The 13,898-nt window shown below is 37.7% G+C and overlaps 1 protein-coding gene across 3 annotated transcripts in view, besides 1 other annotated feature; it reads left to right on the top strand.

The window, feature by feature from the left end:
- The window catches only part of ALDH1A2 (aldehyde dehydrogenase 1 family member A2), a 112,283-nt gene that overhangs the window by 13,583 nt on the left and 84,802 nt on the right, over positions 1-13,898 (top strand). The window lies entirely within an intron of this gene.
- Positions 1,816-2,493: an enhancer, noted in NCBI's record as "NANOG hESC enhancer chr15:58341834-58342511 (GRCh37/hg19 assembly coordinates)". NCBI's record gives its function as "activates a minimal SCP1, AML or CMV promoter by ChIP-STARR-seq in primed H9 embryonic stem cells {active_cell/tissue: H9 hESC(primed)}" and the evidence as "EXISTENCE:reporter gene assay evidence [ECO:0000049][PMID:30033119]".

Raw genomic sequence — 13,898 nt, 5'->3', positions numbered from 1 at the left:
ATAAATGAGTGGCTAGCAGTGTCATAAAGATCCAGCGGAAATCAAAATGTTTCATATTTGCTAAGGACTTACCATATTAGAAATTAGAGCAGTGACTCCCAAGAGACTTCCTCCTTTGAGTCTTGGTGAAAATTGATTTTAATACTTTGTAATAGTAGTAGGCAGAAAATATTTGTTGTCATTTCTCCTCCAGACCATTTGAGCAGCTTTCCTGCCAAGCTAAGCTCATGAAAACCATGGAGGGTGAGGAAGCGTGGTGGCAAGGGAACTTGTCAGAAGCTTACAGCTTTTCACTTGAGTCTAATAGAGACTTAGCACTTTGCAGGTCAGTGCCACTGCTATTTGTCTCTGACCTAAGAGATCTGGAGTTCTTCACATCAAAACCACATCTTGCTGAGCAGAGATCAAACGTAGGAAGGTAAGAATTCTGCCAGTGATTTATCATGCCAGGGAGAGTGATCAGGCCATATGGGGCCACTGCAAATGAAGTTGACATTCTGGCAGTTTCTCATATAGGCCTCTCATGTAGTTATGGCTAGTTTTTCTTGTAGAGGAATTCCGGGTCAAGTGGCAGCTTTCAGTGGTATTTCTTAGCAGAACTGACCTCCAACATGAGGTTTATTTCAAAATGTAGTCCTAGCAAGAGTTTTCTAATGTTGTGTTTAAATGGCAAATAGGGATCTTGACCAAATTTGAGCTTTTCATTTGTCTCCTTTCCTCTTTTTTTCTTTTCTGGGAAGTTGCCTATCTAAAAAAATAAATAAATAAAAAGAGAAAATTAAGTTTAAGATGTACAAAAATTTCTCAAAATGTTAGATGTGATTTTAAAATGAACTCTATAAATTATGCACAATTAGGCTTATTAGTTTATCATCACAGTTTAAGTCAGGGTCCTTTAGGAATGACTTACTGCAAATAATATTATAATCCAGTTCCTGGGGTAAGAGGAAGCATCACATTTAAGGAATAATTTAATTCTTTAAATACGATTATTTGCTAAGATCTGAGTCAAGTGCAAACCTTTTCATTTGACAGAAAAAAATTCAATAATTCTTCTTTAACTACTTATATCAACAGATATGTAAAAATGATTGTGCTACATAAAATTCAGCATTTTGTTTACCGTCACAAGCAAATGTTTAGTCTCCTGTGGAGAAATCACTCATTTATTGGTTCAAAGCCTTCTTCAACCTTAGGATATGCATTGAGGTGTTCGAGCCCTTCCTTGCATAGATGTTTGCTTTGCAGCATAAATGAAAGATGATATTCACATTTAAACATAGTGGTTTGAGACATTAACTTCTAATTCAACTGAAGATGCTAGTTGCTACTTTTGGTTTTACTTTTTTTGTGATGAGAAAAATTTCCTTAGTTGAAATAGGCTTTAGTGACTAGAACTAGGTCTTAACCTGTGTATCAAATTCACTTGATTTGTTGAATTATCACTTTATCTGTTTATAAACTGGAAATTAATATTCCGGTTGATGAAGTACTTTGCCTGTGCAGGGAGCAAGTCTAAGTGCAATAATGAAATGGAATTTGTCTTAGTTTTCACTTACCATTCTTGGAACACATACAACATCCATGAAAACATGGTGGGATTGTCAGATAAAATAAATGATTTTTAGTGAAATTTGAAGATTAAGTAAATAATGAATTAGTTTTTTAGTATCAGTATACCCTATGATTTCCCATACTTAAACTGAAATTTTATTTACTGTTTTTCTGAAATTCATATTTAATTATACTTTTATTTGCTAAAACGGGCAGCTCTAAACTGTTAGAGAAATCATTGGTGATTTTTATCTGTGACCAGTTAATAAACATCATTTTAATGTAAAATTAACTGGCATTAAAAGCAAAAACCAAGGAATTCTTTAAAACTGGTACACTGGAATAATGAAGAGCACAGTAGAAAGACTTTTTTTTTTTAACCCTAGCAATACTATTGAATAAATAGGGCAACTAAGCCCATTGTAAAAACAGCTTAATCTCCTAAATGAATTGCTCCAACCTTCTAATTCAAAATCATACAAACAAAAACATTGAGATAAGCTGGGTGCTTTTTCAAATGGGGACCCCCGTGGCTTTGAAAATAAACACTTCAGCCCCCTTCCCCCTCAAGACCCACACTCACACCCACTAGCCTTTCTGAAGTCTTCCATTTGCAAATGAACAGGCTGAATTCTGAGAAAGACAGAAGACTAATTGAACCTAGGGAAGATAGGCAGAGGAACATTTGTTTCCAAACAGAAGACAAAAAGAAATCATGTTACATTCTCAGTTTTCAAGACAGGGGGGTACATAAAAGCCATTTCTCTTGAGTTTTCTTCTCTCAAAGTACATTTCCCACACCGCTGTTCAGACCCTCTACAGGCCAGGTAGCCTTACCATGTTTGAACCAGCCTGCATTAGCCTGTCTCTATGGCAGTGTCAGAAGTGGGTAGTGATCAGACATTTGGGGAGACCAGTTAATGTGTTGGATGGCCTTCACCATCTTTACCTCTTTCCCCACCCTATCTGTCTCTGCTGGTTTAGCAAAGTGGTCTTAGTAGCAACAGAGAGTAAGTGAACGAATACTCAGACAGAACAAGGAGTGACTAGCTTTTTAAGAGTACTCATAAATTGCCTTGAATTGATTGCTTATATTCAGAATCAGAATGAATAAAAAGTCTCAGTGCATACTATGTTAGGCTTTTCAGTAATCCAATATCTTATTTAATCCTTACAACCACTCAATAAATGGTTTTTATTATCTTATTGTACAAATGAGAAAATTGAGCCACAGAAAGTTTAAATGACACATCTAAGTCACACCATCTAGCAATCTTTGTACACGTAGGAATATGACCCATAAAGAAATCATGCGAGAGGAATAGAGGCACAACTGGATCTTAGGACACCTTCATCAAATTTCTGTGGTTAAAGAAGATTTGGTATATTCCTAACATGGAATACTCTTCAGCAGTGAAAAGAACCAAACCACAAGATACATTCAACAACATGGATAAATTGTAAAATACGCTGAGTGAAAGAACAGAAAAGGGTACTTACTATGTGATTCCATTCATATGAAATTCTAGAAAAGGCAAAATAATCTATAGTGCCAGAAAGCAGATCAGTGGTTGTTTGGAATGTGAGGGTCAGGGTGGGTAAGAGGGAGGGATTACAAAGGGAAACAAGGAAATTTGTGGGGTGGGGTGGGGAATGGATATATTCATTATCTTGACTGTGGGGATGGGTGTACATATGCTAAAACTCATCAGATACATACAGCTTATTATTATACCTTAACAGAGTATTAAGATTTTAAACATTTAAAAAATAGAGTCCAAGAAGACCTCCATGAGACTCAGCTCAGGTGTTAGTCATACCTGTCATTTGATTAAGGGAGACTGGGAAAATTGGACATTTTAGATCTGTTGTGGGAGTATCCTGCTGTAACCCATGGAATCCTGAGTCAAATGGAACACTAGGTCTGCATCATAGGTCACCGTAATTCCCCTGGACCCTTTAATCTGAATGACCCAAAATAACACTGAATATCTCAAGCAGCATCATTCTGGGAAAGGGGCAGATCCCCCATCCATACTTCCCTTCTCAATTCATTTGGATCCGGCCTTGTCCATCAAAGGCTGACCAAACTGTCCTCTGGGGAACACGACTAGTGACCTTTTGTCTCTGTAGTCTCATCTGTGTCCTTTCACTTTCAGAAGCAGACCTTGAGGTTAGATGGATATGTGAGAAGCTAGGTGGATCTTGGCTACCTAACTGTTAATGTCCTAAGTTATTTCCATTTACAGCATTAACACAGTTTGTGTAATCATTGAACATCAGTACAATGTGTTGGGCATACAACACTTAATTTAAAATACCCAGCTGCTTACTCTGGCACAATCACTTTCTATTAGTATTTTAAAGCTGTTTTAAAATGTTACCTTTAGTTTTACATTTTTTTTGACCTTGTACTGTCTGAATACTTGAGCAGTCTAGTTAGCAGCCTTTTCTAGTGAAGACTTTTCCTTTTTCCTGACTTTCAGCTTAGGACTCAGCATAAGTGGGGTTCAGGGCCTGCAATATTGGGTCCATTATTTAAAACTGTTAATTGATTTAAAATTATAATTGATAAATTAGTCCTTCTCAAAGCAAGCTTTCTAAAACCATGCTTTTTGCTAGTAAAATATTACACTTACTGAACAAAGCCCATGTCCCTATAATATCAAAACATTGACTTTAAAGTGAAAAATGCAATCAATCATCTAGGTGTTTTTTCTATACAATGCCATTTGGGTGTTTTTTTCACTTTTTAGCCAGATGTTTTGGCGTGAAGCAAAGCGAATGAATAATGGAAGTCAACAGAACCACTCTTGTTCTAACTATATAACCATTTCAGGAAGAAGTTTTTTCCCCCTCTCTAAATGATCTGAGCACTTGCCTTATTGTTTTACTCTGTATAGGTAGACTCTTAATTAGAAGTAAAAAAAGTTGGGGCTAATTTTTTTCAAAGTTAAAAATATTACCTTTGATTATAATGTTTAAAGGACACCAGCCTTACAGAGTGCCATACTGAGATGATCATCAATACAGTTTTTTATAGGTAAATGATAGCGCTGCCATTTTTTTGGTTGTTCTTAAATCTCTTTAAAGTAGAAACAGTGGGACAATCATGTAAAAGGAGATAACTACCATTAAGTCCTCAAACTACTTCCTTATATTGTTTAACTAAACTTTTTCATATAAATCAATCTGGATATTGATTTGCTGTCTGGTACTCTCTTATGAGGAATGAAAACAGTTTAATGGCAAGTTGAGTAAAATTTAACTCTCCAAGGTACAATCTACTGCAGAGTTTAATACAAATCATTTGAAGCATTTACTATTAAAAAAACAAAACGTTTTATTACTGAAATAAAACATGGCAGCTTTATGTCAAAGATTCACTGAGGATAGGAAATTATTTACACCTAACTCCTATCAATACCTGCTGCTTTGAGAATTCCTCAGGCTTTAGATTCCCCAATTAGAAAATCCATGGCAGCCTGCCTATATAGTTATGGCCATTTTGCTGTGGGCTGACAAGTGCGATAAGCCTAGTTTGTCCTCTCTTGTTTTCCTGTTGCAAAAGTGGCCAAGCAAGGCAGGCTGTATGGCTAGTAAGTTTCACTGTTTTGAATCTTTATCCAGCTAACTGTTGAGATGTATACAGCAACTTAAAGCAACTTTTAGAAGAATCCGATGCTGTTGACAGCCAATCTTAATTCCTTATCCCAGCCCCACTACTTTTTCTAGAAACATGATTTACTATATCCTTTGAGCACCTACTGCATTTTAAGTGCTGTTAAGATGTGGGGGAAACCAAATGAAGCCAGCAGACCTTTCTTCAAGAACTTAGGGAAGAGAGAAACTCCCATTTTAACCAGCTATACTTCAGGCACATTTCACATTTTATCTCACTAATTGTGCAATAGCTCTGTAAGGCAGACAGGTCTTATTTCTGTTTTTACGGAGGAGGAAACAAAGCTCAGAGAGTTTAATAGCTTGCTCAGGATTTACACAAGTGGCAAAAGGCAGACTGGCATTAAAATGGAGATCTTTCAACTCTACCTCCCCCATTCTAGGTTGTTCTATGAGGAAGATGAAGGAATACATACAAGATTAATCACCTCAATCTTTAACGAATTTCTTGATTTTTCTTTACTTTGTTTTACATACATAGATATGACCCTTGTAACATTCAACCATCAAGCATGAATAAATTAAGCAACTCTACACCTGTCTTGGGGGAACAGACTTGCTTGTTACCTTGCTATCCTGATGCTCTCTTTTGAAAAGTAAAATTGTATAAACCAGCGTAGTCACTTTTAATTGGCTTTCAAAAAGCCAAACTTTATGATCTTTACTGTTTTAACACAGGAATACAACCATCTGCACCATTCACATGTCAGACTACCTTCCTTGGAGACCGTGAGATATCTATTCCTTTGTGGTTTGGGAAGGGACATTTCTTATTGGCAGAAAGCCTTTGTTGCAGGGAGTATTGTCCTTATTAGAGTTCTTAAAAGCATTCTACTAGGAAGGTGAAATTGCTGAGATAAGAAAATATATGACATTTCCTGCCATGGTGCCCAGAATCTAAGACGCTTTGAAATATTGACAAAAGGAAATTGTACTTAACAGATTTTTTTCAAATGCATGTGTGGAGTGTCTCTAATAAAGTACCATTATGAATTTTTATTTTAATTCCCTTAGGTGGAAGAAGAAATTGTGGGCCAAACAGCAGTGACCATATTCTTTTTTAATTATACTTTAAGTTCTAGGGTACACGTGCAGAACATGCATTTTTGTTACATAGGTATACACGTACCATACTTAGCCCCCCATCCCCTGACAGGTCCGGGTGTGTGGTGTTCCCCATCCTGTGTCCACGTGTTCTCATTGTTCAGTTCCTGCTTATGAGTGAGAATATGCGGTGTTTGGTTTTCTGTTCTTGTGTTAGTTTGCTGAGATTGATGGTTTCCAGCTTCATCCATGTCCCTGCAAAGGACATGAACTCATCCTTTTTTATGGCTGCATAGTATTCCATGGTGTATATGTTTCACATTTTCTTTATCCAGTCTATCATTGATGGACATTTGGGTTGGTTCCAAGTCTTTGCTATTGTGAATAGTGCCGCAATAAACATACGTGTGCGTGTGTCTTTATAGTAGCATGATTTATAATCCTTTGGGTATATACCCAGTAATGGGATCACTGGGTGAAACGGTATTTCTAGTTCTAGATCCTTGAGGAGTCGACACACTGTCTCCCACAGTGGTTGAACTAATTTACACTCCAACCAACAGTGTAAAAGTGCTCCTGTTTCTCCACCTCCTCTCCAGCATCTATTGTTTCCTGACTTTTTAATGATTGCCGTTCTAACTGGTGTGAGATAGTATCTCTCTGTGGCTTTGATTTGCATTTCTCTAATGACCAATGATGAGCATTTTTTCATATGTTTGTTGGCTGCATAAATGTCTTCTTTCGAGAAGTCTCTGTTCATATGCTTTGCCCACTTTTTAATGGGGTTGTTTGTTTTTTTCTTGTAGATTTGTTGAAGTTGTTTGTAGATTCTGGATATTAGCCCTTTGAGCAGTGACCATTTTATAAAGACTTTGGCATTTGATATGCTTTTCTTTTTCAGTCTGGGATACCGAGATTCTACAGAGAAGGGAACATATGAAAAAGGACTCACTTTGTTGCCATGAAATTGTAACCAGCTCCTAAATCAGTTAGCTTGGCCATTCCCTTTTCCCTCTGCTCATCCAAAACCGGCCCTCCTCTGGGAAGTAATTATGATAAGGATTGGTTTTGAGGTCCTCTTCCTGAATCCTCAAATTTAGTCCTGTTGGTTGGAAGAGCACAAAGCTATTCCTTAATATGCCTAGGAAAATAATTTTCTATTTGAGGATTGTAATAGTCTGGTTGTTGACTGTCCTCTGGCAGAAGTTTCTGCTTCTGCACCTGGGAAGACTGCAGACAGTGTCCCAGGACCTCATCTCTAAGTAGTGTTTCATTAGGAATATAAATCAACAGTTTCCCTAACATATTTTGCTTTCGGGAAAGAAAATGAAAAATTATTTTACTGGCACCTGTGTTGATTGTGCTGAAGTAAAAGGACTCAAACAGAATTCCTTGTGCTGAACAGTGTCTAAGAAGCATCATGATACAGGAATAGAAAACCACACACTGGATGTTCTCACTCATAAATGGGAGTTGAACAATGAGAACCCGTGGACACAGGGAGGGGAACATCACACACTGGGGCATGTCGGTGGGTGGGGGCAGGAGAGGGAGAGCATTAGGACAAATACCTAATGTGCACAGGGTTTAAAACCTAGATGACAGGTTGATAGGTGCAGCAAACCACCATGGCACATGTATACCTAGGTAACAAACGCACACATTCTATACATGTATCCCAGAACTTAAATAAAAAAGAAGCATCATGATAGAGATGCAGCAAAGATCACTCGGATCTGGTCAGCCATCAAGTCCTCTTTTCAAATAGACATCAGCAAAAATTAAGTTTAGAAAAAGCACTGAGGTGGGAATCAGGATATGGGGGGTTCGTTCTTTATTCTGCCACAAATCCGGGGTATGTGGCCTTGGTCAAGCCATTGGACTTCTTTTGACAAGTTTATTTATCTAACACTTGGATTTGCAGAGATTATATCTAAGACCCTGTACAGCTCTGTGAATCTGTCTCTTCCTAACCAAAGGAGCCTCTACTATGTTTAGACCGAGAAAAAGATTCTCATTCATTAGAGCATTTTAAAATAGTGCTTTAATAGGACTTGGCTGTTAAAGTATGATCTTGGTGTACTGAATAATTTCACAACAGGAAACAAAAACCGTTTTTTGGCAGGGAGGGAGGGTTTCCAGCTGTTCTTGGTGATGACTTGGCATAGGTTTAAAAATGTCTGTTGTAGGACTCTTTTCCACCTGAATCTCACCGTTTCAAATGATGTCTTTGTAGTATATTCATTGTGTGTTAAAATATTAGACATAATTGGAAAAGAAGGCAGTCACATTTGAGAACACAGAGGGCATACTCTGCAGCAGTCATGGAGATTCTGTTATTCAAATGGCTATGAAATGTTAACATACACTCTTTAGAGAAGGAACAAATCAAACCTATGTTATCACAGAACTTCTGATACACTTTCTTATTGAGCGCCCACTGGTGGCCACATGTGTTCTATATCCACTAACCCAGATGTACAGAATATTAGAACTCAAGGGTTGTAAGGGATGGCAATAGATTTAATAACAAATGACATCTTCCATTAGATTGATAGTAGCTTTCTGAAGTGCCGTATTGAAAAGTATTCAGAAAAGTCTAGCTGGAAAGTGTCATGATTCATTATTAATGTTTGTCAAGAGCCTGGAAACAAGATTTGTATCATAAGTGCCATGGTTAGCCTTCCTTCAGTCACCAGGTCTGGTACCCTCATAGACAAAGAAATTGAGGGCTAGAGAAGCTGAGTGACTTGCCACATACTTAGCATGAAACCAGGACTAAAACACAAGCAACTTCACCTCTTCCTTTTCCTCCTCCTCCTGTGCTGTAGAAGAAAATAAGACTTTTATAAGGGTATCCCCTTATAAATAAGCCCCTAATGCACAGTCAGTTTAAATAACAAACTATAAAATGACATCATTGATAGTGGCCAGGTGAGAAGACTGCAATTCAATTTGGCCTTTCAGACTTCAAGTCACTCAGGAGAACTCCAGTGTTATGATCCAGTGCCCCAGAGAAAAGCAGTTCCTTGTGAACCACCTTCATTTGCAAGGGCTTTAGCAGGATACCAGTGGCACTGGTATTTTAGTAAATACGTCCATAGTCTTGGTGACCACAGTGTCTTTATCTAGAATCATGTTCTGGATGAAAACTATTTGTCTTAACTTCAATTCAGACAAGAAAAATGTAGGAAGCCTACAATATAAATGAGATGGTATTCACTGTAGATTGAGAGACAGCTTTTCTGGGACATGAGATGAAAGTGATTCTAGGATTTCAAGAAACTTGACTCCTGGAATCCAAAACATACATTGTTTTGCTTTTAGCTGGAAGAAACAATGTACGTTTTTAATTCATACTTGCTTCTTATGTAATATCAATACTTAGGAAACATTTATTGGGCATCTACTATTTTACTGTTCCTTATGTAGATGTTGGTTATACAAAAGTAAAGATGACGTAGTGGCATAGTATTTGTTCTTAAGGAGCAAGCAATACAGTGGAGGGTTTAGGTAAAGTATTACAGGACAGTATGATAGGTAGGTATATGTCAGAGGACCTGCAGTTAGCTCTGTATGAAGGGATTTAGGAAGGCTTTATCAAGAGGTCGTATATGAACTCAGTTTTGAAAGATGACTAAGATTTTACTGTCCTGTCAATTAAAGAAGGCAGGAAACAGTATGTTCAAATATCCTGACTCACAAAAGTTCATGTCATGTTTAGAAATTGGTAGTTTTAATATAGGATTTGAGAGGGGGTTGGGACTTCTACAGTCTGAATGTTTGTGTCTCGCCAAAAATCATATGTTCAAATCCTAATACAGTAGTCCCTCCACCCCATTCATGGTTTTGCTTTCCACAGTCAGGTGAGTACAGTATGGTAAGATATTTTGAGAGACATCACGTTTACATAACTTACTACGATATGGTGTTGGAGTTCACTTCATTACTAGTTGTTAATCTCTTACTGTTCCTATTTACAAACTAAACTTGATCCTAGGTATGTATGTATAGGAGAAAAACATAGTATGTATTACTATACCAGTAGTTTGTTACTGTCTGCGGTTTCAGGCATCCACTGGGAGTTTTGGAACATATCCCCCATGGATAAAGGAGGACTCCTATACAAAGGTGATAGTATTAGGAGATGAGAACTTTGGGAATTGATTAGGTCATGAGGGCAGAGCCCTCATGAGTGGGATTAGTGTCCTTGTAAAAGAGGCCTGAGAGAGCTAGCTTGTCCATTCTACCATGTGAGGAAATGGCAAGAATGCACCATCTATGAACCAAAAAGTGGGCCCTCACCAGACACTGAATCTGCCAGTGCCTTGATCTAGAAATTCCCGGCTTCCAGGACTATGAGAAATAAGTTTCTGTTGTTTGTAAGCCACAAAGTTGATGGTATTTTGTTATAGAAGCTTGAATGAACTAAGCGAGGGAGAGACTTAGATCCACAGATTTTAAGTTATCATGCTCCTCATTTTATGGCGCATGTAACACACTGGTCTGTGCAAATTCTCTGGTTTCCCCCACAGGTTTTCACTCCAATCTATATTTAGATATGGACATATTATTGATGGAAAACACAGTGTTATTTTTTCTCTATATGTTTTATTTACATAAATGGTGGTGTTGTATAAATGTTATGCAGGCATAGATACTTGGTGATGAGTGTCCAGAGATGAGACTGGAGAGATTGTTTGGGATCAGATTATAAAGGAATCTAACCCTTTGGAAAGAAACACATTTGATTAATTTATTTTGAAATGGTACAGATGGCCACTTGAAGGTCATGCGGCATGAAGGAAGTTGCTCCAGGGCACCACCCTGTTTCACATACTAGTATCTAGGACTGAGGTTAAGGTGCTAGACTATTTAGATTTTGAACCCTCCTCTACTGTGTTCCTAACTGGGGGGAAGTTCATTTTAGTTTTTGTGCCTGACTTTCCTAATCTATAAACAGGACAAACATGACTGCCTACTTCATATGGTGGATGTGAAGATTAAATGAGTTAATATGTGTAAAAAGTGTCTAGAGCCTGTAAATAGTAAGCACGCAAATGTTAACATTTATTATTATTCTCTTGCTCAATTTGGTTTTCAATTCTGACTTTATAGTAAGTTTCTTATTTATATTATTTCTACTACCTTTGGCCTAATAGAATATAGATCTTTAATTTAAAGTTACATCTTAGCAGAGGAGACGGGGAACAGCCATAGATGTTGAGAGGAAAGGTTCAAGTTTTTTGCCCTGTCAATTATTTGTGGTGTGAACTTGGATTTACATCATAAACTTTAGCTTATTCCTTTAGACAGGAAATAATGCCTACATCGTAGATTTGTTATCTAGATGAAATGAAATGGTGAAAGTTCACAGTACATAGTGGGCCCCTCATAACGTTCGTTGTATCTGAATTACTTACTGAATGTGTGTTATCCATGTACTTTGGGTTAGAGGAAATTCTGCTCCCTAGATTATCTGTCTGCAGGTTGTTTTATGATTCATCGTATAGTTGGACCTGAGTAAACGTGTTCTATTAGCACAGCTCTTGAGAAAGAATGTACTTATCAAACAATTCTGCCTCTTCAGCTGTGGATTCAGAGAGCCAGTGCTTTCTTTGATGAAGGCCACTTCGTCAGAATATGCAGAGAGGTGTTCTGTTGGCTTCTGTCAGGCAGGTGTGGTTGCTTTGGCTGGAATTCTTTAAGACACACAAATTGCCTCTCTGATATTTTATACAATTAGAATATAAAATATATTATCTTTGGAGCATATTCATAGTAGGTATTCAATAAGTGCTTGTGAATGTTGTTCCCAAATTTTATTATTAGAACCGTGACTGTTGATTTCCCCCACCACAGTACTGAACACTTATTTCAAGGGCAGGGGGCTGATTATCATTTACTTTTTTATATCTTCCAATGCCTAGCACAGTGCCTACCATATAATAGGTGACTAAGAAATGATTGCAAATAAAGGAAGAATTAATGACTTCTAGGGAGCTAGGACAAACATGCCAACTTCCTCTCCTTTTGCATGTGACTCCCCTCCCTTTTTGTTCTCTTCTTTTCTCTTTTCAGCTCCTCCCTTCCTCTTAATAATCAATGTTGTGAGTCACTTAACTAGCCCTAACTCACCTTTTTAGAAGACAATATTTCTTTCCTCTCTTCACAAAAATGAAAGGTGACATGTCTCTATTATAAAGAAATGGCCTCAGCAACTTCTGGAAAAACTCTAGTGGTTAATCAGTTACTTTTTATTTAAATATATATGCTTAATGCTGAATTACATTGTAAAACTCCCAAGCTGATTTATGGTCTCAGCCTGCCTTAATTAACATCGATTCCAGGGGGATAGTAAATGGGAATGGCCTTCACAATTGAGGTTGAACAATGAACTCTCTGGGTGTTGTCCAATTTGTAACATGATTTACATGGAAGCAAGCCCTTCCTTTCCCGGGGTTATCCCTTTTTCATCTGGTGTTTAGGACGGGTTATATATAATCCATAGATAGGAACATTTGCTGTCAAATACTTTTGCTGATTTAGAGCTAGGCCACAGAATGGTCACTATTAATAAAGAAGGAGAAAAAAAAAACTAATCTGAGACTTTGCAGGGATTCCAGGTTCTTGCTATGTGTCATCGCTTGTCCAGTCTGTGGCGGTTTTATGAAGTGGCCATAATGAAAGTCAGATTAAATGCACAGGATATATACATTTAATCAACAGCCATTGGAGTCTGTGGTGCTGGAAGAGTTATAAGAGCCCCATGAATGCAAACTTATTGCAAAAGAATTCAAGGGGTGGGGGAATGAATGTCTGCTGAATGGTACTACCTGACACAGGACACCAAAAAACTTTCCAGAGTGAATGATTTAAGTGTAAGGTTTGGCTTGTAAAGCTGCCAGCTGCTTGGTTTCAAAACTTGAAACGTTTCCAAAACATTGGATGAGGCACTTTATATGTGCACTAGAGTAAATACTCTGGTTTTACTGCCAATTTAAATGTGCTCAGTTTACAGTAATGAGCTTGTATAGGCATTACCTTGTTTATAGAAAGTGGAACAGGAAGAAATGAACATTAACCATTACCAGTAGCAATTCCCATTGCCTTCTACCACAATATTGATGGCAAGTTTAATTTCTTCCAATTTGGGACTGTGTCACAACTGACATTGGTGTGTATTTGGCTTTAATGTCATGTTGCTTCAGCAGAGGAACACATGCTGTGATTCAGCTTGCCTCTGTCAAGGCTGATCAGACCAGTTAGTTGTTTCTTACTGTTTTTCCTAAAACAGATGTCAAGAGACAGATATGGGAATTCTGGGACAGTAGAATAGGTAGGTACCCTGATTACACGTAACTGGGTCTGTTTTAGCCAAGTCTGTTTTCTACAAATGGATCACTCATGGGAGCCATTTATTTTCCCTTAAAAATTATTTGGGTGTGTTTTTATGCTGTACATGAAAGCAGTGGCCTCTGTCTCTTGGGATGACTGGCACAGAAATATCCTTATCCCTGGGATAAGGCTATTTGACTCCTTGGATCATCTCCTAGAGATAGGAAGATACTTAGACTGAAAGACATAATTTACTTGGCCTGGAGAAGAAAGAAAATACA

Source organism: Homo sapiens, chromosome 15 (assembly GCF_000001405.40).
Source record: "Homo sapiens chromosome 15, GRCh38.p14 Primary Assembly".
NCBI lineage: Eukaryota > Metazoa > Chordata > Mammalia > Primates > Hominidae > Homo > Homo sapiens.
Note: the sequence above shows the minus strand (reverse complement) of the source record. Positions and strands in the feature narration are given on the sequence as shown.